Source organism: Homo sapiens, chromosome 17 (assembly GCF_000001405.40).
Source record: "Homo sapiens chromosome 17, GRCh38.p14 Primary Assembly".
Classification (NCBI taxonomy): Eukaryota; Metazoa; Chordata; class Mammalia; order Primates; family Hominidae; genus Homo; species Homo sapiens.
Genome location: NC_000017.11, coordinates 57,022,571 through 57,048,996, shown reverse-complemented (window position 1 = coordinate 57,048,996; position 26,426 = coordinate 57,022,571). Strand labels below are relative to the sequence as shown.

Genomic DNA, 26,426 nt, shown 5'->3' with positions numbered 1-26,426 from the left:
TCCACAGACTACACATCAACTAGTATCTTTACATTTTCCATAAAATGTTACTGGCAATTGATTAAATACATTGCCTATTATATCTATAGTAGATCTTTGACATTTGTGAGGATTATATCCTTTACCTTTATGAAAACTCAAGCTACCAAAGACCACTGTAGCACATATTGTCACATATAAAACAAAATAAAGTACAACTGAAAATTACACATTACTCTGGTGTGTGTGTGTGTGTGTGTGTGTGTGTTTCAAGACAGGGTCTCACTCTGTCACTCAGCACCCAGGCTAGAGTACAGTGGCATGATCACAGCTCACTGTGGCTTCAAACTCCTGGGCTCAGACAAGTCTTCCATCTCAGCCTCCCAAGTAGCTGGAACCACAGGTGCACATCACCACACCCGGCTAATTTTTATTTTATTTTTATTTTCGTAGAGACAGGGCCTTGTTAGGTTGCCCAGGCTGGTCTCGAACTCTTGGGCTCAAGTGATCCTCTTGCCTCAGTGCTAAGTGCTGGGATTTAACAGGCGTGAGCCCCTGTGCCCGGCCTTCACTACTCTTTTAAGTCCTTAACAGTTCTATAAGTAAGGAACTAAAGCTGTATAAAGCTATTAAAAATAAGTGTGGCTTCAGTAATGCCAAAGCAATTTGGAGGATTGTTTCTCTTGTTGGCACTGAACCTTACCACATCAGAGGGCTGAGCCACTGCTGAATGCCACCCTTTTAATAAACCCAGACATCTGAAATTTAACAGGTCAAAACCTGTTTCTCCTACAGTCTGTGTCACCTTGGTAGATAATTCCAAGCCAGAAAACAGGAAGCCATCAGTGATAGCTCCCTCTTATCCCTTACCTCCAATCCAACATCATGTCTTATTTATCTATTTGTTTTCCTTCAAAATGGCCTAAATCCCCTCACCCCTTTCCATCCTCGCTGGTACCACCCCAGCTTCTTCTCTTTCAAGAGCCTGTTCACTTGCTCTCCTCTAGTTTATTCTCCATGATACAGCCAGATAGCTCTTTTTAAAATGCAAACAATGATGAATTTCCACAATTCCCCATGCATTTGGAATAACGGCTATACTCTATCTGCGCAAGCTACCCCCAGCCCCTCTCCACAATCTGACCTGCACTCCCCAAACATCCCCTTCCAGGAGTCAATTTCTGTCTTGTCTTGTCTTATTCAGCGCTGGCCATAGGCATTCCCTGTGTCTGGAACTCTCTTCTACAAGCTGTGGCTGCAGGCTCCTTTTTCTCCTTCAGATCTGAACCTAAACATCACCTCCACATGGAAGCCTTTATTAAGCATCCTCTGAAATAGGTTCCACCACATAAAGCTTCCTTCTATTATTCGCAACCACAGTACCCACGTCATTTCCTTCTTTGCATGCACCCCTGTTGGTCAGGACACACTTATTGGTTTATTTGGAGGTTTCCCTCCATTTGTTGCAGTTTCTTTGAGTGCAGAGGGCTTATTCCTTGTGTTCATCCAGAGCCAATCCCAGTGCTGACCACAATACAGATTTCATAAATACAGTAAATCCAGTAGTTCCCCCTTACCCATGGGGGACATGTTCCTAAACCCCCAGTGGATGCCTAAAATCACAGATAGTACAAAACCTTTTTTTTTTTTAATCTTTGTAGGTAGTGTATTTTAAATAGCTTTCAAGACACACATATTTTTTCCTTTAAAAAAGTCTGTTGGTGGCCGGGCGCGGTGGCTCACGCCTGTAATCCCAGCACTTTGGGAGGCCAAGGCGGGCGGATCACGAGGTCAGGAGTTTGAGACCAGCCTGGGCAACATGGTGAAACCCCATCTCTACTAAAAACACAAAAAATTAGCCAGGCGTGGTGGCACACGCCTGTAATCCCAGCTACTCAGGAGGCTGAGGCAGAAGAATCGCTTGAACCCGGGAAGCGGAAGTTGCAGTGAGCCGCCGAGATTGTGCCACTGTACTCCAGCCTGGGCGACAGAGCTAGACTTCCTCAAAAAAAAAAAAAAAAAAAAAAAAAAAAAAAGTCCGTTGGAGCAGTTTTGTTCCTGAATTTTGCTGGTCATTCTCATGGTCCCGAGCCCCCAAACTCCAGGTCCTGGAGGCAGCCGAGGGGAAGGCTGGGAGCCCACGCGGCCTATTCTGACGGCGCTCGCAGCACTGGTGGAGCAGCGGTGCCCCGTCTTGCCACAGATCATGCATGGCCGCCATGTGAGCTAAAACTTCCATTTATTTCAAAGCAGTAATAATTTAAAATTCTAAAAATCTTTCCACCGCTGAACGTTTAGAGGGTGAGGTTAGACAAAAGACGGGGAGGCTGAAGGCGCCCCAGAGGGGACCATGTGGCCCACGCCTTCCCGAGCCAGGGAGCCGGTGGGCCGGTCCAGGATCCTGCCCTGGAACAGGCGGGGCCTGTAGCGCTGACCAGCCAAGACTGGCGCCTCTGGGGCACCCAGTCTGTGGGTGCCGTGCGGCCCTGGCTGAGGGTGGTTGGGAAAGTCCCCGCGGTTTCCCCGCAGCCTCAGGCGCAGCGGGCAGTGGTGGGTGCCGGCCCACGCGGGCTCAGGAGTTACTTGTGGCGTTCTCTTTACTGGGCGAGCTGGAGGAGGGGGAGGACGACGAGGAGGAGCAGTTCATCCCAGTCGGGCCCGGGGCGGGGGTGTTCGTGGCCGTGTTGTGTCCCGGGAGGCTTTTTCGGCAGACGGGGCAGCTGTCGTGCTGCTCCAGCCGGTGCACTATGCAGCCATCGTGGAACAGGTGGTTGCGGGGCAGCTGCTCGCCCAGCGCGTAGTCGTCCTTGCACACGGGGCACTCGAGCCCGGAGCCTACGTGCTCCTCGGTGACGGGGACGGTGGGGAGGTACTGGATTTTCTCTTCATCTGCCGGTGGGGGGCCCGTGTTTTCAAACTGATTGAGGAGCTGTGCGAAGGCGTCCAGGCCGTTGGCCACTCAGGCGTAATCCATAGGGTTTGAGTGCAGGACTCCCCAAGGACCCAGGCTGGGGATGGTGGCGGGCGTGATGATGCCGTTGACGAGCTGCTGGATGATCCCTTCTAGCGTGGGGAGGCCTTCGTGCCGGCCGGTGGCCCGCCGCGTGGGGAGGCGGAGGCGGGGCTGCCGGGCGCAGTACGGGGCCGGGACTGATGCTCTGTCTCCCACGGTCTCTCAGGGTCCTTGCTGCCGTCAGCCTGCGCCCCAGGAGAGAACGTGGGGATCTCGAAGCTGTCGTCAAAGATGCCGAAAGCAAACTGTCCGTAGCCCTGCGGCAGCGTGAACAGGTGCTGGTCCGCGTTCTCCAACGGCGGCCGGCTCTGGTCCGTGGGGGCAGTGGAAGGGGCAGAGCTGTTTTCTGTGCTCCTGGTCTCTTCAGGAAGCTCCTCGATAAAATCAGACGCACATCTTGGGCAGATATAATCCGATAGGCGCGGGACGGTGTCCAGGGAGCAGCAGTGGCAGAAGAACCGTCCTAGCTGCTGCGACGCCTCGGCCCTGGCCACCGCCCCCTACTCTGCGCCGCCCGCCCCCCGCGAGGCGCCAACCGCCGGCCATTTGCTGCTCCCTCGCTGATCGACGCCCAAACCTTTTATATACTATGTTTTTCCTACCTACATATCTATGATCGAGTTTAATTTACAAAATAGGCGCTTACTAAGGAAGCGATTAACAACAATAACGAATAATAAACACAACAATTGAGTCAAATAAGGGTTACTTGAACACAAGCACTGCAATACCATGGATTGGTCTGATAACTAACAGCTACTAAGAGACTAATGGGCAAGTAGCATCTACAGTTCAGATACACTGAACAGCCGGAGGATTCACAGGCCGGGAGGGGTGAAGCAAGACGGTGTGAGATTTCATCACGCCACTCAGAATGGCAAGCAACTGAAAACATGAATTATTTCTGGAATTTTCAGTTTAATATTTTTGGACTACAGTTGACCGCAGGTAACTGAAACCGTGGATAAGGGGGTACTACTGAATGTGTATTTTGAATTTTCTAGCTAAGAATATCGCCTTTTTTTTTTTTTTTTTGAGATGGAGTCTTACGCTGTCGCCCAGGCTGGAGTGCAATGCCACGATCTTGGCTCACTGCAACCTCTGCCTCCCGGGTTCAAGTGATTCTCCTGCCTCAGCCTCCGGAGTAGCTGGGATTACAGGCACCCACCACCACACCCAGCTAATTTTTGTATTTTTAGTAGAGACGGGGTTTCACTATGTTAGCCAGGCTGTTCTCCAACTCCTGACCTCAGGTGATCCGTCCGCCTTGGCCTCCCAAAGTGCTGGGATTATAGGCATAAACCACCGCCCCCGGCCAGAATATCACTTTTTTACAACTTTTTTTTTTTTTTAATTTTGAGACAGAGGTTCTTTTCGTCGCCCAGGTTGGACTGCAGTGGCGCCATCACAGGTCACTGCAACCTCTGCCTCCTAGGCTCAAGCAATCATCCTGCCTCAGCATCCCTAATAGCTGGGACGACAGGTGCCCGCAACCATGCCTGACTAATTTTGTGTTTTTTGTAGAGAAGTGTTTCACCATGCTGCCTAGGCTTGTCTTGAACTCCTGGGCTCAAGTGATTCACTTGCCTCAGCCTTTCAAAGTGCCAGGATTACAGGCATGAGCCACATGGCCAAGAATATCACTTTTACCTTTAACAGATATTTTTCTTTTTCTTTTTCTTTTTTTTTTTTTTTGGAGACAGGGTCTCACTCTGTTGCCTGGGCTGGAGTGCAGTGGCATGAACAAGGCTCACTGCAGCCTCAATCTCTTCGGCTCAAGTGATTCTCCCACCTTAGCCTCCCAAGTAGCTGGGACCACAGGCATACACCACCCTACGTGGCTACCTTTTAAAATTTTGTGCAGAGACCAGGTCTCACTATGCTGCCCAGGCTAGTCTCGAACTCCTGACTCAAATGATCCTCCCACCTCAGCCTCCCAAAATGCTGAGATTACAGGCATGAGCCATCACACCTGGCCAACAGTTATTTTTCTTTACTGCAAGAACCTTACATTGTCATAGTAGAAAAGATTAGACTCCATAGATTAAATAAAAACATAAAATCATGTTACCCCACATTTAGAGATAGCCACTAATAGCCTTCAGATATATTCCTCCAGGGCCTTTTTAATGAATCTCGATGCAGGGATATATATGCTCCCAAGTCCTTCAACTTTCTGTGGTCGCCTGTTCTTTGACAGCCAAACAAAATGTCTTGGTCCCATGCCACGTGCTGAGGGACATCAAGCCTTCTTCTGGTAATTTTCCAATCCCTGGTTCAGCTGAATCCCCACATCCGTTTCCTAAAGTTGCTGTCTGCTCTCTTCTCTGCTTTGTCCCTGCACCCTCTACTTTGTCTCCATCTATCTCCTCCTTTGTCCCCAAAGGTCACCAAGTACTAAGTGGATAACAGATTCTTCTTTACTGGAGTTCGGGATCAAGAAGGTGACCCCCAACCAAGCACAATGTGGGAGATGACATAAGGCTCAGCGCTGGCCATTGCTGCCAGCAATGGAGATTTCTTGTGTACTTCTGCGTCCAAGGTCTTGGCCTGCTGCCATCTTGGTCTTCTCCCTTTCACCTCTAACCAGGTCCTTCTCTGCTTTGCTACACGTGTCAGGACCTTGAAAATAGAGTCTTTCTGACCTATCAGAAAGAAAGATCAGATTCCTGGCACTTCTGTTGTGCAGAACAGCTTAGCTCATCTATACATCTAAACTTTTCTCTCCTGATAGAGCTTGTCCAGGTACCTGCTCTTTCATAGAAGAGGGAGGGGTGACAGTGGGGTGGGGATGGAGACAAAAAAAGGCAGAGATATCAAGAGAGTTTCCAAAACTAAGAAACAAGGTGTCACAGGGCCCTAAGACCACCCTCTGGCTCAATGACTCATTTGAAGTGCTCAGAGAACTCAAAAAAATGGCTAGACTCATAGTTTAGTTCATTGCATTGAAAGAACACAGATTTACATTCTGATCTAGTTTGAATGAAAAAAGAGAAAGAAAGAAAGGAAGGAAGGAAGGAAGGAAAGGAAAGGAAAGGAAGGAAGGAAGGAAGGAAGGAAGGAAGGAAGGAAGGAAAAGGAAAGGAAAGGAAAAGAAAGGAAAGGAAGAAAAGAATACAGATTACCAGCCTGGGCAACATGGTGAAATCCCATCTCTACCAAAAATAAAAATGAAATAAAATAAAATAAAAATTAGCTGGGTGTGGTGGTGGGCACCTGTATTCCCAGCTACTGGGGAGGCTGAGGTGGGAGGATCACCTGAGCCTGAGAGGCAGAGGTTGCAGTGAGCCAAGATCACACCACTGCACTCCAGCCTGGCAGATGGAGAGAGACCTTGTCTCAAAAAAAAAGAAAAAAAAAAGAAGAAAGAAGGAAAGAAAGAAAGAAAGAAAGAAAGAAAGAAAGAAAGAAAGAAAGAAAGAAAGAAAGAAAGGAAGGAAGAAAGAAAGAAAGAGAAAGAAAGAAAGAAAGAAGAAAGGAGGAAGGAAGGAAGGAAGGGAGGGAGGGAAAGAAAGAGAAAGAAAGGGAGAAAGAAAGGGAGGAAGGACCATTATTTACTTAACTGATCCCATATTATTAGACATTTACTTGTTTTCATTTTTTATTGTAATAGATAACACTTTAACAACATCCCTGTAATTATGATGGTGGTGCTATGTCCAGTGCTGTTATGACTCCAAGAGAAATTCCCACATGATTACGTACTGGTTCACCTTATGAGGAGGGAGAGCTCCCCTCAGGCTAAGTCCTAACACATCCAGTCTAGGGGGCTTTACAAGTGTTGTGGCCCCAGGATAGTTACGGGGGGCTGTTTACAGACAATGGGACAATGAGAAGCTGGCTGCCTTGACTCCCTGCCCCATCCTCCAAATGGAAGGTGCCGCTCTCTAGAATCCACCTTGAGGGCTCCGGATTCCTCCTCCTCATTTTCCTCTTCTGCTGTTGTCCCTCCCCTCCCCCACCTGACCCCAAGCCCCGGTGCATCTCATCTTGGAGTTGTGAGGGAGAAGGCTCCAGACCCTTCCTGTGTCTCAGTCCAGCAACTGCTTTTACAGAGCTGTAAGCAGGGAGGAAGGCAAACCAAACCTTAGGGTACAGTGAATTAACAAGAGAAGGAGAGGAATACATCAAAAATACTCATTGTGAGTTGGTCACGGTGGCTCATGTCTGTAATCCCAACATTTTGGGAGGCCAAAGCAGATGGATCGCTTGAGCCCAGGAGGTGGAGACCAGCCTAGGCAACAAAAATTAGCCAGGCATGGTGGTGTGCACCTGTAGTCCCAGCTACTTGGGAGGCTGAGGTGGGAGAATCACCTGAGCCCAGGAGGTTGATGCTGCACTAAGCCATGATCTAGCTACCACACTCCAGCCTCGGTGACAGAAAAAAATATGCATTGTGACATTTGGAGCTACAACTCTGCCATAAAACAAAAGCAGCATCTGCATCCTTCATTCAATATTTCCTTAAGATAGTTTACTACATATTAGGCATTGATATGGTTTGTCTCTGTACCCACCCAAATCTCATCTTGAATTGTAGCTCCCATAATTCCTAAGGGTTGTGGGAGAAAGCTGGTGGGAGATAATTGAATCATGGGGGCGGTTCCCCCCATACTGTTCTCGCGGTAGTAAGTCTCACAACATCTGATGTTTTTATAAGGGGTTTCCACTTTCGCTTGGGTCTCAATTATCTCTTGCCTGCGGCCATGTGGGACGTGCCTTTCTCGTCCACCATGATTGTGGGGCCTCCCCAACCACGTGGCGCTGTGAGTTCATTGAACCTCTTTTTCTTTGTAAAATCCCCCGTCTCGAGTATGTCTTTGTCAGCAGCGTGAAAACAGACTAATACAGGCATTGATTGTTACAAGTGCTTTCCAACTATTAACTTAAATTTCCTAGTATCCTATGAGCTTAGGAACTTTTATTATCCCCACATTACAGATGAGGAAATTGAGGCATGAGGACATTGAATAATTTGCTCAAGGTCATGCAGGTGTAATTGGCAAAGATGAGGTTCCAACCTAGGCTGTCTGCCTCTCTGTTTGCTATGTGGCCTCTCCTTAGGAGGGAAATTGAAAAGAATGCATGCATTTCAAGGGTTTCAAAACAGGTGCCCTCCTGAAGGTTGTTTTCTATTTTAAACTTCTGTGTAGACAGAACAGTATTCATTCAATAGTTATTTGTTGAGTGCTTACTACGTGCCAGATGCCAGGGCCACATCGATGAACCAGACTTAAGCCTGCTATCAAGGAGTTTCTAGAAAACAGGACAAACACCATACTTGGCTGGCTGTGCTGTGGTATAGACAACAGCAGGGTGCCCTGGAGCAGTCAGAACCATACTTAGTTTAGTTTTAGGGTTAGAAAAGACCTAGAAAAAAGTTTTAGGGCCCAAGTGCAGTGGCTCATGCCTGTAATTTCAGCATTCTGGAAGGCCAAAGCGGGAGGACTGCTTGTGTCCAGAAGTTCAAGACTAGCCTGGGCAATACAGTGAGATCCTGTCTCTATAAAATTTAAAAATTAGCCAAGTATGGTGGTGCATGCCTGTGGTCCCAGCTGCTTGGGAGGCTGAGGTGAGAGGATTGCTTGAGCCTCGGAGGTCAAGGCTGCAATGAGCCATGACTGAGTCACTGCACTCTAGCCTGGGCGACAGAGACCCTATCTCAAAAAAAGAAAAAAGACTTCCTGCAGGGCAAGATTTATGAACTAAGAGCTGGACTGATGAGGAAGAGTTAGCCAGGAGAGGGGGGACTTTGGAAATGTAAACAATGGGGCTACCTTATAGCTTTTGATGGCCCTAGGCATTTTACTTTCATGGGCCCCTCCCTCTGTTAAACAAATATATTAAAATACATATTTTATGGCTGTGTTGGTATAAACATATAAATTACTATTATATATTAAAACACCTTTTGTGATTTAAAAGTCCATTGTTTTTCTTTCTGATTTTAAAGAAATTAAAACATGTTCGTGGATCCCTAAAAATATTGTGGTCCCCAAGTGCTGTGCCTTCAGAAGTCAGCAGAAATGGAGCCTGGAGGTGGCAGGTGCAGGTGAGAAAGACCTTTGTCAGCCAAGGAAAGGGTTTAGATGTGATCCTAAAAGTTCTAGGAGCTACATATGGGTTTTAAGGAGGGCAATGTGAACGGGTTCATTTCAGAAAGCTCCTGTAGCTTCAGTGTAGAGCATGGCTGGGAGGGGAGGCTGGAGGTGGAGTCATGAGCTCTGAGTGTGTCAGAGGGATCCAGGGGAGATCTGAGGGCACACTTCAATCAAGGAAGGAGCCCAGGGAAGGGGACAGACAAACTTAGAGACTAACGGGGTAAAATCAGCAGGACTTGGCCATTGGTCTAATGCAGGGGTGAGGAGAGGGGGCATCCAAGGAGATTCCCAGGTGTGTGACTTAGGCGCCTGAATAGAGTCATTTGTTACACTGCAGATGAAAAGAAAAGGAACAGATTGGAGCGCATGGTAGGAAAAAATAGTTAAGCTTTTATTTTTTAGCAGTATTGAGTTTGTGATGCCTTTGAAATATCCATAAGGAGAGGTTTTTCAGAGGCAATGGGTCAAATGGTTCTAAAAAAAATTGCAGTGATTTAAAAAGTATCATGCCACTATCCACTGTCAATAGAACATATACTCTATATTTTCAAGGCACTTTAAAGTCCTTAAGGTAATGTCACATGTGTTTTCATTTTGTGCTTATACTATCATGGTTAAGGGCATGAACTCTAGGCCAGGCATGGCTCACACCTGTAATCCCAGCACTTTGGGAAGACAGGGTGGGCAGATGGCTTGAACCTAGAGTTTGAGACAAGCCTAGGCAACATAGGCTTTATCTCTACAAAAAAAAAGTAGCCGGGTGGCATGCACTTATAGTCCCATCTACTCAGGAGGTTAAGATGGGAGGATCCCTTGAGCCCAGGAGGTTGAGGCTGCAGTGAGCATGATTGTGCCATTGCACACTCCACCCTAAGTGACAGAGTGAGACCCTATCAAAAAAAGAAAGGGAAAGGAAGGAAGGAGAAAAAGCAGAAGAAGAAAAGAAAAAAAGAAAGAAGGAAGGAAGGAAGAGAAAGAGAGAGAGCATGGGCTCTAGCCACAGACTACATGGTTCAAATCTCATGAGTGCCACCTTGTAACTGTGTCATATTGGGAAAGTTATTTAAACCTTCTTTGCTTCATGTTCTCCATCTGTAAAATGGGTAGAATAACAGTCCCAGCTCAGAGGTATATGATTAAGTGAACAAACAGCTATAAAACACTTAGAGCAAGTGCCTGGCATTTAGCAAGCACTCAATAAGCACAGCTGTTACTATTCCTACCGCAGCAGCATGCCTATTGTCTTCCCCACTGCTTAGACCTTTCTGTGGTAGTGGAATTTGCAGGAATCCTCATCTGCACTATCTTTCATTGCATCTCCTCCTGGCCACTGTTGCTCATATCTGCCATATGGATGAGAAAGGAGTGTGATGGTGACCAGCGTTTTCTGGAGGGTCGTCCATGATGGGGCTTGGCATCCTGGGAGGAGTCAACATTACAAATGGAGGCATTCAATGGCAGACGCCTTTATGAAGGTCTTGGAAGGAGGGAGGAGTTGCTAAAATGAGACCTGTTCAAAGCTGGAGGAAAGGGGGTAACATTTGGTTCATAGTAAATGAGCTTGACTTCGTTTAGTCCATGTTGGCCAATAAAAGTTTCCCGGAAGTTCTCAAAGCAACTCCTTTCGCTGACCTGACACTGTAGCTGCAGTCAGGGTTCAGCCAACCTGCGTAGCAAGATGCTAAGGTGAGGCCAACTGGCTTCCCAGATAACACAGAAGGAACAAATCCCAGAGTTTGTTTAATTCTGGCCAAACTTAACTGAATGTAGGAAAAAAATTTATTTCCTAGGAGGTCTGAGAGCTGTTGAGAATATGTGTATAGTAAAGCAGACTAGGGCAGGGGAGTCCCAGATCGTCTTGTGATCAAATCAGATGGACAGGACTTTGCCAGGTGCTTTTCGTATTAGTTCACCCCCTCAACAATCCCACTAGCAAAGTGTTATTCACCTCTTTAACAGAAAAGTTAAATAATTTTCCTGCAGTGATCCAGCCAGGAAGGGGTAGAGCTGGGACTGGAGCTGGGTCTGTTTGACTCCAGGACCTAAACTCTTTCTGTGGATCAAAAAGACAGATAAGCCAGGTGCAGTGGCTCACACCTGTAATCCCAACACTGGGAGGCAGAGGTGGGAAAATTGCTTGAGCCCAGGAGTTTGAGACCAGCCTGGGCAACATGGTGAGACTCCATCTCAAAAAAAATAAACAAAATAAATAAAAAATTAGCCAGGTGTGGTAGCACGTGCCTGTGTTCTCAGCTACTTGGGAAGTTGAGAGGGGAGAATCACTTGAGCCCAGGAAGTTGAGACTGCAGTGAGCTGTGTTTGCAACTCTACACTCCAGCCTGGGCAACAGAGCAAAACCCTATCTTGAAAGAAAAATTAAAAAGATGGATAGCAGTGCTGAGCTTTGGGGCTGTTCATGGCACTGTTCTGTGTTGTTGTTAGCAAATAAAAACAATTAATATTTATTGCCCTGTGCTAAGACTCTTATGTATATAATTTCATTTGCTTCCCCTAGTAACCCTATAGAGAAGGTACTATTATTCCCTTGCTTTTGCAGATAAGATTAAGGTATGGAGACTCTGAATAATGTGTCCAAGGTCACACACCTAGTAAATGGCAGAGCTAGGACTCAAGCCCAGGGAGTCTCCAAAACCCATGCATTCATGCCGCATGCTGTTCTCCTACCGGAAACAGGAACCAACAGCTCTCAGCACTAACCCTAACCCCAACAGTTCTAAAGTCCTGTTCAAGGGCAGGAGGAGGAAACTTCAGGACCAGGTAATTCTTCCATGAGCTTTGGAACCAGGCAGCGCTAAATTCACACTGAGCCTGGCAACTCACAGTGAAGACTGCTTCTCAGCTTGGCCTCCAGCCTCCTTTTCTCCACCCAGACCCAGCTGTGGCTGCCTGCTCCTTTCTGCCATTTTCCAGGATTGTGATGTGAACACACAGGGAAACAAAAGTGCTACAACCCCGTCTGTGTCCAGCCCCGTTCTCTCTTGCTTTCCGCCCAACATCAACAGACCACAGTGCCCTCTCAGTTTCCCCAGAAAGAGGTTGCTTACCTACACTCACAACAATGGTGAATGATGTGAAATTTACTGAAAGTTTCAAGGCAGAGCTGGGGAAGGGGATCTACTGAAAACAATTTCATTTTTATTCTTCCATACTTCTTTTCAGCCTACCACCCATTTCTTGTCACCCCACCACCTGGCTTTTCTCTCCACACATCCCCTGCCAGGGTAGGGGTGGTGACCCAGAGGGGACTTCTCTATTCTCCATGTCTTGCTCTTCTCTGTGGTTTTTCTTGGACCCCTGCTCTTGTTAACCACCATCTTTTCTTATCCAGCACACCGTTGGGCGCCTCCCTCCAGCCCAGGTGGTTTGTTAAAGTATTTCTTCTGAGTAAGCGCCATTCTCTCCCTGCAAGGGGCTTCCTTGGCCACTACTCCTTTGCTAAAGCTCTTTAGTAAAAGGACTACAGTGAAAATGGTCATTACAGCTGGAGCTATAGTGCCTATCTTGGGAAGGGAAGCGCGACTGCCTTTGCCTGCACTGGCCTTTCCCTCTTTTCCTGCATTTCCAAAGGTCACTGGTTTCAAAGGTCTCGGCAAGTCTGCCCTGAGCTCCTCTTTTCCCATCTGTGGGTTTCTACCTCCTCCTAACAGCAAGAGGGATTTTTCTCTGAAGGTTGCCAAAGGGAGTGGCAAGAACCTCTCAGAGAGCAATTACCTTGAAGAGCCCTCCCTGGAGAACAGGCTCTTTCTCTTCCAAATTGGAAAATCCTCACATTGTGCCAATTTGTCCAGAGGGCACTTGGAACTTTACCAGCCGAAACACTCACAACTCTTAAAGGGAAAGTGAGCAACTAACAAAGGCAACCTTCAAGGGGCTGTGGCAGGAGCCAGGTGGCTTTCAAAGAAAAAGCACAAGGTAAGAACGAGCTGTGACCCTGGTGGAACACAGCGTTAAATCCATCTCAGAAACAACCATGATTGATGAAGTGCGGGACTTTTTTCTCCTGAGAAAGTGTAGATTTCATTGCCAAGTACTACAGCCAACCCCAGTACCCTGGAAGTGAAATGTCTATTTTGAAAAAGACAGAAACATCATCAGAAACATCAGAAACATCCTAATGCCCATAAGTAAAGGGATTATATGACCCACTGAAGGTTAATTGTTTATTATAGTAACAGAATAGCCCCAGCCTGGACAACATAGAGAGACCGTGTCTCTACCAAAAATTTCAAAATTGGCTGGGTGTGGTAGTGTTCACCTGTGATCCCAGCTACTTGGGAGGTTGGAGGATCACTTGAGTCCAGGAGGTCGAGGCTGCAATGAGCTATGACTGCGCCACTGCACTCTAGCCTGAGTGACAGAGCAAGATCCTGTCTCAAGAAAAAAAAAAAAGAATGGCTGTCCAGGCGCAGCACGATGGCTCACATCTGTAATCCTAGCACTTTGGGAGGCTGAGGCTGGTAGATTGCTTGAGCTCAGGAGTTTGAGACCAGCCTGGACAACATGGTGAAACCCCATTTCTACAAAAAATACAGAAAAATGGTGGTTCATGCCTGTACTCCCAGCTACTTGGGGGCTGAGGTGGGAGGATCCCGTAAGCTTAGGAGGCAGAGGTTGAAGCGAGCCGAGATTGCGCCACTGTACTCCACCCTGGGCGACAGAGTGAGACCCTGTCTCAAAAAAAAAAAAAAAACAAGAATGGCAAACATGGTTACATGTTTCTTTTTAATCATATTGGCTTTGGGGTGCAGTGTAAGATTTATTTTGAAATATATTTGCTGCCTTTTTTATACTTTGCCAAAGACAACATCCAACTTTGTTTGCTGTCCCCAGGTGAACAGCCCCTGATTGTTTGGAGGAGTCTGAAGGTATGCAGGCTGGCAGAAGGAAGCTGGCTTGGATGAACATCTTGCCATATGGAGTCACAAATTGAATGGCCCCTTTTCAGCTTGGTTGAGAGCAAGCTCCTGAAGCTTTAATCTGGGGTCAGTTTGGGGAAAAGAAGAAATCTTGCAGAAACTTGTCAGGACATATCACATGTAGGTTGGAAGAGGGACATTGACAGGGGCAATCTAGTCTAGGGTGAGTTCTGTATGCCAGAGGACACCAGACTAAGGTATGTCACTGATGATGCTATTTAATTCCAGAGGGAGTCAGTTGGATGCAGCTCTTGGTTTTGAGTCTGGCCCTAATGCTCTCAGCTGACAAATTCCTTTTTCTTCTTTTGAGGCAGGGTCTCACTGTCACCCAGGCTAGATGCAGCGGTGCCATCACAGCTCACGTGGTCCTCCCACCTCAGCCTCCCAAGTAATTAGGACTACAGGCATGCACCACCATACTTGGCTAATTTTTGTTTTTTTTTTTGTAGAGGCAGGGTTTCACCGTGTTGCCCAGGCTTGTCTATAACTCCTTGGCTCAAGCGATCCTCCCACCTTGGCCTCCCAAAGTGCTGGGATTCCAGGCATGAGCCACTGTGCCCAGCTTGGCTGACAAATTCTAATGGCAGAAAAGATCAAATACCAAGATTGCTTGTAAACATCACAGCAAAATATTGCACTTACTTCACTGCCCCCTGAAGTGACCACATTTTTCTTTTGTTTTGAGACAGGGTCTCACTCTGTCACCCAGGTTGCAGTGCAGTGGCATGATCATAGCTCACTGCAGCCTCAACTTCCTGGGCTCAAGTGATTCTCCCACCCCACACTCTTAAGTAACTGGAACTACAAGCATGCACCACCATGCCTGGCATTTTTTTTATTTTTATTTTTATTTTTATTTTTATTTGTAGAGATAGGATCTCACTATATTGCCCAGGCTGGTCTAGAACTCCTGGGCTCAAATGATCCTCCCACCTTGGCCTCCCAAAGTGCTGAGGTTACATGTCTGAGCCATTGTACCCAGTCAGTGACCACTTTTGAGAAACAAAAATACAAATTCCCAATCCTAACATATAGATCTGAGCCCCAAAGCATCTGTGTCTTCACCAGATTTGATTTACTTTAAGTACATTGTTTAAAAAAAATTAAAATAAATAGAGAGAGGGTCTCCCTATGTTGCCCAGGCTGGTCTTGAACTCCTGAGCTCAAGCGATCCTCCATGTTGGCCTCCCAAAGGGCTGGGATTACAGGTGCGAGCCACTGCATCTGGCTTTAACCAAGTACATTCGAACACATGTTCTTTTAATTTAGGGTTTTGGGGTTTTGTTTGTTTTTTTTTTTTCTTTGCTTTTTTACATTGGTATAGTTATTTTTAAATATTTTCTCAGCAGTTGCTTTTTCCTAATTCAGATGAAAACAGGGCCTGGCTTGGGCTTTAGCCAATTAAAACAGGCTATGCTTCTACGAGCAGAGTTAAATGTGTTCCCAGAGAGTTGCCAGTGCCACTTTATTTTTGGTTACAGTTCTCTCAAGAGGACCTTTTAATAGCTCTTGAAGTAGGGGCAGTAATCCTTGGAAACAAGACAAACCAGTTTTCTCCCCTCTACCCCACAACTCCTTTTTGCCTTTACACTTGAAGCAACTAAATTAGAAGTTGGACGTCACGAATCCTATAGTTTTACTTGAAATTTCCTGCTGCTGACACTAATGTTTTCTTTTCTGTTAGAATCAGGAACACTTAAAAAGTCAAACCTCCTCGTGACCTGATCTCAAAGTACATTTGAAATTTTTTTTTTTTTTTTTTTTTGAGACGGAGTTTTGCTCTTGTTGCCCAGGCTGGAGTGCAGTGGCACGGTCTCGGCTCACTGCAATCTCCGCCTCCCAGGTTCAAGTGATTCTCCTGCCTCACCCTCCTCCTGAGTAGCTGGGATTACAGGCACCTGCCAGCACACCCAGCTAATTTTTGTATTCTTAATAGAGACGGGGTTTGACCATGTTGGCCAGGCTGGTCTCGAACTCCTGACCTCAGGTGATCTGCCAGCTCGGCCTCCCAAAGTGTTGGGATTACAGGCATGAGCCACCGTGCCCGGCCTGTAATGTTTTTTTCCCATGGCAACATTTCTCAGCTACTCTGGGCTTATGAAGAAGAGTATAACAATGCCTGTCCCAGTTTTAAAACCACATTGTATTTAGTCAGAATTAGGCATGGCTGTAAGTGGTAGAAAACCCAAACCAACAGTAGCTTAAGACAAAAATTTATTTCCATGTAAAGAGAGAAAAGGAGTACAAAGGTGGAATGGTGGCTCCAGTCCTCAAAATCCTCGGGGACCTCGGCTCATTCTAGCATATCTTCCTACCATGATCCCAAATGGTTGCATTCACATTCCAGCCAGCAAAATAAAAGAGGGTGAAAGGGAACAAAAGGTACACCAAAGGGGACGGTTTCCAGCTGCTGCCAGAACACTTCTGTTTATATCCCGGTGGCCAGAACGTAGTCACGTGGCCACACTTAACTGCTGGGAAATGTAGTATTTTTTTTTTTTTTTCTGGATCGCTGTGTGCGCAGTTAAAAATTCTGCCTCTATGCTATACACCCTAGGGCCTATGGTCTTAAAATTTACCAATTTCTATCAATTTTGCCTTGAGAATTTGAAACACCTCTTGAGATTACTAAATAACAATATAAGGTGGTATAAAATCAGTATCAGAAATACCCCCACTCTTTATAATATTTATACAACATTTTACCAGAATTTTGCTTTTGGGAGTCCATAGTAATTAAATAACTCTAAAACCAGAAAAAGCTTTAAGCAAAATAATGTTCATCACAGTTATTTATAATCAGAAAAACTGAAATGACACTTTGAGAGGCCCAGGTGGGCGATTGCTAGAGCCCAGGAGTTTGAGATCAGTCTGGGCAACATGGTGAAACCCTGTCTCTACAAAAAAAATTTAAAAAATAAGCCAGGCATGGTGGTGCACACTTGTAATCCCAGCTACTTGGGAAGCTGAGGTGAGAAGATCACATGAGCCAGGGATGTCGAGGTTGCAGTGAGCCAAGATGGCACCACTGCACTCCAGCTGGGTGACAGAATGAGACCCTGTCTGAAAAAAAAAAAAAAAAAGAAAAGAAAAACTGAAATTTGAATAAATGTCAAAATATGGAGGACTGGTCAGATGAAGTGTAGAACATTTTCTTAATGGAATATTATGTATCTGTTAAAAAATGATATTTACAAGGCCAGACACAGTGGCTCAGGCCTGTAATCCCAGCCCTTCAGGAGGCCAAGGCAGGAGGGTCACTTGAGGCCAGGAGTTCAACACCAGTCTGGGAAACAAAATGAGACTTTGTCTCTACAAAAAATTGAAAAATTAGCGGGGTGTGGTGGTGGCACCTGTAGTCCCAGCTATGCAGGAGGCTGAGGCAGAAGGATCACTTGAGCACAGAGGTTCAAGGCTGCTGTGAGCTATGACCATACCACTGCACTCTGTTCTCCAGCTTGGACAACAGAGCAAGACCTTCTCTCTTTAAAAAAAAATTATACTGACAAAGAACCCACAGTAACATAGATAAATTCTTATAATGCCCGTTAAATAAAAAATATAGGGATATGAATTAAGCCAAATGACTTTTTTGGGTAATGAGACTTTTAATAACTATTTTCCTACATTTCTTTATTTTCTAAATTTTGTTACTATTACACTTATTATTTTATTAGAAATAAAAAATATTGCTGGGCGTGGTGGCTCATGCCTGTAATCCCAGCACTTTGGGAGGCCAAGACGGGTGGATCACCTGAGGTTAGGAGTTTGAGACCGGCCTGGCCAACATGGTGAAAACTGTCTCTACTAAAAATATAACATTAGCTGGTTGTGGTGGCACATGCTTGTAATCCCAGCTACTCTGGAGGCTGGGGCAGAAGAATTGCTTGAACCCGGGAGGCAGAGGTTGCAGTGGACCGAGATGGCGCCATGGCACTCCAGCCTCGGCAACAAGAGTGAAACTCCATCACAAAGAAGGAAAAATAAAATAAAAAATATCCTATCCTCTAGTCTCTCTAGTTACCTACACTTTACCCATCTTTAGGTACCTACACTCTACCCATCTCTAGATACCTATACTCTACCCATCTCATAGAGCTCAGTTTAATCTGACCTCCTGTCCAAAAGCTTTTCTGGCCATTCCCTCTCTTCTGCATTATTGCTGACACCACTTGTAATGGGAAGTCATTTCTTTTTTTTTTTTTCTTTTTTTTTGGAGCGGGGGAAGAGCCTCACTTAGTTGTCCAGGCTGGAGTATAGTGGCATGATCGTGGCTCACTACCTTGACCTCCCAGGCTCAAGCGATTCTCCCACGTCAGCCTCCTTGAGTAGCTGGGACTATAGGTGCTCACCACCATGCCTGGCTAATTTTAAAAATTTTTTGTAGAAATGGGGTCTCCCTATGTTGCCCAGGCTGGTCTTGAACTCCTAGACTTAAGCAATCCACCTGCCTCAGCCTTCCAAAGTGTTGAGATTACAGATGTGAGCCACCGCGCCTGGCAAAACTCTTTTTTTTTTTTTGTCTTGCCAGCATCAGGCAGAATCCTCTGATGAGAAGCTATTGGGGCCTCAATGAGGTTATACCTTTCCTCTCTCTCCTCCTTGGTAGATACAGAGTAGTCCTGTAGACCCACTAATCAGATGCTCCAGCCCAGGAATTTGAATTGGTGGAAATAAATTTGTAGTCTACGTGGGCTTTGGATATTTGATGATACTAAGATATTTTTCACTTGGGGGGTAGTAGGGGAGTGATGATGGTATTATGGTTGTTTTTAAATTTTATTTTAAAAATGTAGGTGTTCAAGCCCAGCAGAAATGTCCTATCTCCCCATATATTGGAACCTAATTGCCTATGGGATAGTACTAAAGAAGTGGGGCTAGGGGCCAGGGGCAGTGGCTCACACCTGTAATCCCAGCACTTTGGGAGGCTGAGGCAGGTGGATCACCTGAGGTCGGGAGTTTGAGACCAGCCTGACCAACATGGAGAAAGCCCATCTCAACAAAAAATTAGCCAGGCATGGTGGAGCATGCTTGTAATCCCAGCTATTCTGGAGGCTGAGGCAGAAGAATCACTTGAACCCCAAAAGCAGAGGTTGTGGTGAGCTGAGATCGTGCCATTGCACTCCAGCCTGGGCAACAAGAGTGAAACTCCATCTCAAAAAAGAAAAAGAAAAAGAAATGGGACTGGCACAAGTGCCTCTTGCCTGTAATCTCAGCACTTTGGGCGGCCGAGGTGGGAGAATTGCTTGAAGCCAGAAACTTGAGACCAGCCTAGTCAAAATAGTGAGACCCTCTACAAAAAAATAATTAAAAAAAAAAAGAAATAGGGCCTTTAGGAGTGGTTAATGGGAGCGGAACCCTCATGAAAGGGCCCTCACCAGACACCAAACCTGCTGGCATCTTGATTTTGCACTTTCCAGACTCCAGAACTATGAGGAATAAATTTCTGTCATTTATAAATGCCCTAGTCTAAGGTAATTTTGTTATAGCAGCCGGAAAGAACTAAGACACTATGTAGCTTCAATGACACCAAACACAAGGCATTTAGAATAAAAAGGGTTTTCTTCTTCACAACGAAAGGAAAAACTCAGTACTTCACTTGTGACACCAGATGTGTGTGTGTAGCAGGGGTTCCTATACCAAGCAATTCTCCAATTCTCTGGAGATACCAGCTGGGTATCCTACAATTCAATTCAGTTCTGACATGATCTATCTGAAGTTAGTACCTACCCCACAGTCGGTTGCCAATCAAAAGTCCAGCTTGTCACCTGGTGCTTCTGACAGGCTATGAGTCAGAGGGTCCCATGATCCCTTTCTTGAGTTTAATCATTTGCTAAAACAGCTCACAGAACTCAGGTAATGTTTGTTAGTCCATTCTCACATTGCTATAAAGAAATACCTGATTGGGAGGCCGAGGTGGGCGGATCACGAGGTCAGGAGATCGAGACCATCCTGGCTAACACGGTGAAACCCCATCTCTACTAAAAATACAAAAAATTAGCCAGGCGTGGTGGTGGGCGCCTGTAGTCCCAGCACTTCGGGAGGCTGAGGCAGGAGAATGGCATAAACCCTGGAGGCAGAGCTTGCAATGAGCCGAGATCGCACCACTGCACTCCACCCTGGGCAACAGAGTGAGACTCCGTCTCAAAAAAAAAAAAAAAAAGAAATACCTGAGACTGGGTAATGTGTAAAGAAAAGAGGTTTAATTGGCTCATGGTTCTGCATGTTATACAGGTAGCATGGTGCTGGCATCTGCTCGGCTTCTTGGGAGGCCTCAGGAAACTTACAGTCATGGTGAAGGTGAAGGGGGAGCAGGCACCTCACATGGCCAGAGCAGGAGCAAGAGAGAGACTGAGGTGCTGTGAGAGGTGTTTGAACCAGAACGACTCCATCTTGAATAGGGACTGGATGAAATAAGGCTGAGACCTTCTGGGCTGCATTCCCAGGAGGTTAAGGCATTCTTAGTCAGAGGATGAGACAGGAGGTCAGCACGAGACACAGGTCATAAAGACCTTTCTGATAAAACAGGTTGCAGTAATAGGAGGCACCACAGATCCCATTTGGGGAAAAATGTCTATTGTCTTCATGGAAACCCAGGAAATAAAAGTGGGTAGATTCCTCTCAAAATCTAAGGCTTTGTCCTGTTTTGCATTGCATTATCTGATATTTTTAACTTTTTGGGGTATCAGAAATTACTTTACATTATTAGAGAGCTTTGGTATAAGCTTTACCTAGTATAACAACTGGGTAGGAATATACTTTTGGGGATAGCTAATGGCAGTTATGGGGGAATACGTGGCTCTTTGCATGTTTGCATTAGAGAAGCATGCTCTTGACTACCTAGAAGGTATGGAAATGACCCCACCCCCACTGAGAGATAAGACTCCCATGGGAGATGGGCTGAATCTCTCTTTTGGGGATCCAGGATCTGGATCTGGGACCCTTAAATTTTGGGAATCTGTTTTGTTTCCAGCTGTGCCTACTTATTAGGCTGTAGAAATGGCATGCTTTCCTGGCTGTGTTCCTCCAAGGGCTCCACCCTGAAGCCAGTAATCCAATTAAGAAACTGGCAAATGAAAAATCTTTCAACTACTGGATCTTCTTCTGTCTTTGTATTTATATGTGTTATGTGTATAATGTTTCTATATGAAAGAGCTTTGATTAATTGGCTTAAAAATAATAAGTGCTTAAATCAAATATTTTGTCAGAAAAATAAAAACTTTAATGCCTTTTGGTTCACATGACTTTAGTAAGCTTTGGGAAACACAGTTTTAAAGATTATTGGTAAAACAAAAATGTTTTCAAAATTTAGGCATTTGGTCTAAATTATGCAGGTCAGGTATTAGGTTTGCTTAATGCTTTAAGGTCATAAACTGCTTCTTTGACTTTTGAAAATTGTTCAATTTACCTACTTTGGAGCATTAAATTCTAGATGAAACCTGGGGACATGTGGAGCTATCCATACCCCCTGGCTATGCTGAGAAAAGTCAGACCTTATCTGTACTTCTCTCTGGGTCCTAGGCTCCACACACACCTGGTACGTAATTAAAATCACTTATTGGCCAGTCACAGTGGCTCACACCTATAATCCCAGCACTTTGGGAGGCTGAGGTGGGCAGATCACTTGAGGTCAGGAGTTTGAGACCAGCCTGGCCAACATAGTGAAACCCTGTCTCTACTAAAAAAAAAAAAAAATACAAAAATTAGCTGGGCATGGTGGTGGGTGCCTGTAATCTCAGCTACTAGAGAGGCTGAGGCAGGAGATTCACTTTAACCTGGGAGGTGGAGGTTGCAGTGAGCCAAGATCATGCCACTGCACTCCAGCCTGGGCAACAGAGCAAGACTCCATCTTAAAAAAATAAATAAAAATAAATAAATCACTCATTAACCAGGTTTTTCACCAAAAGTAAAAGTTAAGAGTTAACACTGTAACATGTAATTGAGGCTACTGAAGAAACAATTTTACTTGCAAGGTGTATAAGTAAAGTAAAATGTACTTTTGGCAAAAGATTTTAAGAAGGCATGGGAATGTGGATTTTTCTGCCTAGATTAAAGTGTTAAAGGATTGTATTCAGTTAGGATAAATCTAAAGGTTTGGACAAGTTATGGAAGGTTTGTGAAAAATTATTCTTGTAAAAGAAATTCTATGTGTGAAAATATTGGCTAAAGTTAAAGGAATATTATTCAGTTTTTCCATAAATTGAATATTCAAATAAAAGCACAATGAGGTTTTCTCTCGGAGAATTGATCTGCTCTTTAACAAAAATTGTAAAGGCTATAAAAAAGATCTATGAGAATCTTACCTTTTGGTCAGACATTAAAATTGGATAGATTTGTCTATAAGGTTTTATTAAGGATTGGGTTTGACATCAATAATGCATTAATGCAATGGTAAAGTGTGGCTCATTTGGTATAAAACCATGCAGGAAACATTGTCAACTATGAGATGCTGTTTGGCTTTCTTTGGGCTGTATATGTATAAATATGTTATTGGTATGTGTTCAAAAAGTATACAATTCTAACATAACAGTGCATGTTATTCATAGTTATAATTGTTATGTAAAATTGTTTATGCCACAGAAGTAACCAAAATTACCTAGTCAACTGTGGCTTTAATAGTGGCTGTCCTAAGACATTTTGTCATCCACAAACAATGATGGTCTTGTTTTGATCCTCTTTAAAAGGTGGTTTGTAATCAGCTATAGGTCTCTAACAGGTGTTCTTGAATGCAAGTTTCTGATAACTTTGGAGACTGTGACATTAGAACAGAGGAAAAAAACTTTCAGTGTTCATGGAGAGATGAAATGTTGATGAATATCAAGTAGAACAGAAGTTAACTGCGTGGACTGAACTAATAGAAGAATGAAGTAACCTTTTTTGACTTTTTGCTTAAAATGTTGCTGATCCTTTGTTTTGTTTTTCAGAGTTAAAGAGACTTTTCTTTAGAACTGTTTACAGCTTTTAACAATTGAGTAAAGAATACCTGTGAACACAATTTGGAGCATATTTGTTTCTCTCTACCTGATTTATCCAGAATTTAAAAACTATTTGTTGAGTATTCTTAATTTATGGCAATATAGTTACCTGCATAAGTGCAATAAGAATTCGTTTTCTTTTGTAACAAGACACAATTGGAGATACTGGTTATTTTACCAAGGCTTTGACTGGAATGGTGTACTTTCCTTTAAGGAATCAAACTTGACTTATAAAGCCAATAAAAGCCCCTTGGGAAAACTGGCCTCATACCTTGTCTACACAGTCCCTGTACAGGGTTTCTGACCTGTGGTGAGTAAAGAATATCACTTTCTTACAGTCCCAGGGTCCCCAAGTTATCTTGGGACTTCAAGAGGAGAGGAATTCACCCAACTCACAGGTATTTGAGGGTATAAATGCATGGCTGTGCTTAACTTTAAAAAGACTCTTATCTGAGATTCCTGATGGAACAGAGTCCATTAAAGCCAATTTTAGATCAGGCGCCATGGCTTACACCTGTAATTCCACATTTTGGGAGGCCAAGGCAGGTGGATCACCTGAGGTCAGGAGTTTGAGACCAGCCTGGCCAACATGGTGAAACCCTGCTTCTACTAAAAATACAAAAATTAGCCAGGTGTGGTGGCAGGTGCCTATAATCCCAGCTACTCAGGAGGCTGAGGCAGGAGAATCATTTGAACCTTAGAAGTGGAGGCTGCAGTGAGCCAAGATCATGCCACTGCTCTCCAGCCTGGGCAATGGTGAGAGACCCTGTCTCAAAAAAAAGAAAAAAAAAAGCCTATTTTAAAAGCCTATGTGAACAATAATTATTCTTGCTGCTCTTTATAGAAATAATCAGGCCAAGTATAATAAAGCAAATTGGTCTTGCCATGATTTGTTTTTAATAAAAATGGGAGACTAGAGAGAGAAAAATTATGTTTCAAAAACTTGTTCTTAGATTCTAGTCTCATCAGTTATTTTTTAGTTTTTTCCTGCAATTTAGACTAACCCTACTTATTTCTGTGAACCAACCAGTGAGCTCTGGCTGCAGTTCAGAAGAAACAAGAGGGATGGGTAATGTAAAAATCTGGATCAATATTCTAATTCTGGTCACATTTTGGAATCAGCTAATGTCCCCATATCAGCTTGGTTTCAACAGTTGCCCAGTTCATGGAAAGCCTTCTTATTTCATTTACTTGGGATAATTTTACTTATTTTGCTTTGCTGTTGTGGAACATATTGTGGTTGTACTCTTTGCGTAGAGATGCAGGATAAGTTTACTTAATGGTTTCTTAAATTGAACACTTATTAATTTTCCAGATATCACCTTTTCTCAGAGTTATGAATGGCCCTCACCATGCCTATGCTTTCTGACTGAGCTCCTCTCTACCCTGAATGCAAAAGACCCTAATAGTCAGGAATATCATTGCCTCTATTCAGCCTTAAGAAGTTACAGAAGATACATCTTTATCCCTGTACAACCCTTAGGATTAAGGGTTCTCTTATAAAAGGAAGAGGGGAAATACGTCAGAGGCATTTGAACCAGAGCAACTCCATCTTGAATAGGGGCTGGGTAAAATAAGGCTGAGACCTATTGGGCTGCATTCCCAGGAGGTTAAGGCATTCTAAGTTACAGGATGAGATAGGAGATCAGCATGATATACAGGTCACAAAGATCTTACTGATAAAACAGATTACAGTAAAGAAGCCAGCCCAAACCTACCAAAACTAAGATGGTGACGACAGTGTCCTCTGGTTGTCCTCACTGCTACACTCCGACCAGAGCCATGACAGTTTACAAATGCCATGACAATGTCAGGTAGTTGCCCTGTATGGTCTGAAAAGGGGAGAAACCCTAAGTTCTGGGAGTTGCCCACACCTTTCCCAGAAATCTCAGGAATAATCCACCCCCTTGTTAGCATATAATCAAGAAATAACCATTAAAAAGGGCAACTAGTAGCCCTTGGGGCTGCTCTGTGCCCCCAGTTTTTTTTCTTTTCTTTTTTTTTTGGAGACAGAGTGAGTGCCATGTCGCCTCATTGCAACCTCCACCTCCTAGGGCTTAAGCAATCCTCCCACCTCAGCATCACAAGTAGCTGGGGTTATAGGCATGTGCCACCATGCCTGGCTAAATTTTTTTTTTTTTAATTTTAGTAGAGATGGGGTTTTGCCATGTTGGCCAGGCTGGTCTCAAACTCCTAGGCTCAAGCAGTCTGCCCACCACAGCCTCCCAAAGTGCTGGGATTACAGGCATGAGCCACTGCACCTGGCCTCACCCTAAATTATTTCTTGCAGGAGATTCAAGAGCCCTCTCTTGGGGTATAGATGGGGATCCCTTTCCAGTAACAGTGCCACCCAGTTTTAAACAGCCAAATCTTATGAAAAGTCACTCACTATGGTGAGGACAGCAACAAGGGGTTGGTACTAAACCATTTGTGAGAACTCAGCCCCCATGAGCCCATCATCTCCCACCAGACCCCATCTCTAATACCAGAGATTACAATTCAACATGAGATTTGGGCAGGGACACGTATCCAAACTATATCACACTTCATTTACTAGATTACCAGATTGTTATAAAAGGATACAACTCAGAAACACCCAAATGAAAGAGATGTATGGGGCAAGGTGTATGGGAAGGGGTGTGGAGCTTCCATGCCCTCTCCAGGCATGCTACTCTCTCGGCACCTCCACATCCTCACCCATCTGGATCTGGTCCTTTTGGGTTTTTGTGGAGGCTTCATTATGTAGACATGACTGATTAAATCGTTGGCCATTGAAATGAACCTAATCTCCAGCTTCATCTCCCCTCCCCTAGAGATGGGGGTGGGGTGTGGGGCTGAAAGTTGTAATCCTCTAATCACTTGGTTGGCTTCTTGGCAACCAGTCCCCCACCCAGAGGGGGTTTCCAAAAGTCACCTAATTAACATATACTTTAGTGTGGTTGAAAGGGGCTTGTTAGGAAAATCAAGATGCTTTTTTCACTTTTACCACTTAGAAAATTCTCAGGGTTGTAGGAGCTCTGTATCAGAAATGGGGTTGAAGTTCAAGTATATATTTCTCATTATAAATCACAGTATCACACAAGGTGATCCAGAATACATTCTAATAAGGGCATTGCTGACTTTCCCCGCTTGCTTTGTCAATAGCTTCAGGATTTGCATTGTGCTATGGTTTGAATGTAGCCCCAAAAAGCATGTGTTAGAAATGTAATCTCCCAATGCAACAGTGTTGGGAGGTGGGACCTAATCAGAGGCGATTAGGCCATAAGGAATCTGCCCTCACGAATGGATTAATGCAGGAGGGGGCTCCACATAACAGGATGAGTTCAGTCACTTTATTGCATTCTTTCTCTCTCTCAATGTCTCTTCTTCTGTCACAGGCTGACACAGCAAGAAAGCCCTCACTGGATGCTGATCACTTAGT

General features: G+C 44.8%; 1 pseudogene across 1 annotated transcript, besides 3 other annotated features; it reads right to left on the bottom strand.

The window, feature by feature from the left end:
• Positions 2,022–2,949: an enhancer, noted in NCBI's record as "H3K27ac-H3K4me1 hESC enhancer chr17:55123409-55124336 (GRCh37/hg19 assembly coordinates)". NCBI's record gives its function as "activates a minimal SCP1, AML or CMV promoter by ChIP-STARR-seq in primed H9 embryonic stem cells {active_cell/tissue: H9 hESC(primed)}" and the evidence as "EXISTENCE:reporter gene assay evidence [ECO:0000049][PMID:30033119]".
• On the bottom strand, positions 2,202–3,519 carry RNF126P1 (ring finger protein 126 pseudogene 1; annotated as a pseudogene). Its single transcript, NR_002818.2, has one exon. The product of NR_002818.2 is annotated as a ring finger protein 126 pseudogene 1 (transcript).
• Positions 2,735–2,784: an enhancer, noted in NCBI's record as "active region_12424". NCBI's record gives its function as "activates an Ori minimal core promoter by ATAC-STARR-seq in GM12878 lymphoblastoid cells {active_cell/tissue: GM12878}" and the evidence as "EXISTENCE:reporter gene assay evidence [ECO:0000049][PMID:35858748]".
• Positions 20,902–21,102: a silencer, noted in NCBI's record as "peak2908 fragment used in MPRA reporter construct". NCBI's record gives its function as "represses an SCP1 promoter by STARR-seq MPRAs in K562 erythroleukemia cells {active_cell/tissue: K562}" and the evidence as "EXISTENCE:reporter gene assay evidence [ECO:0000049][PMID:32103011]".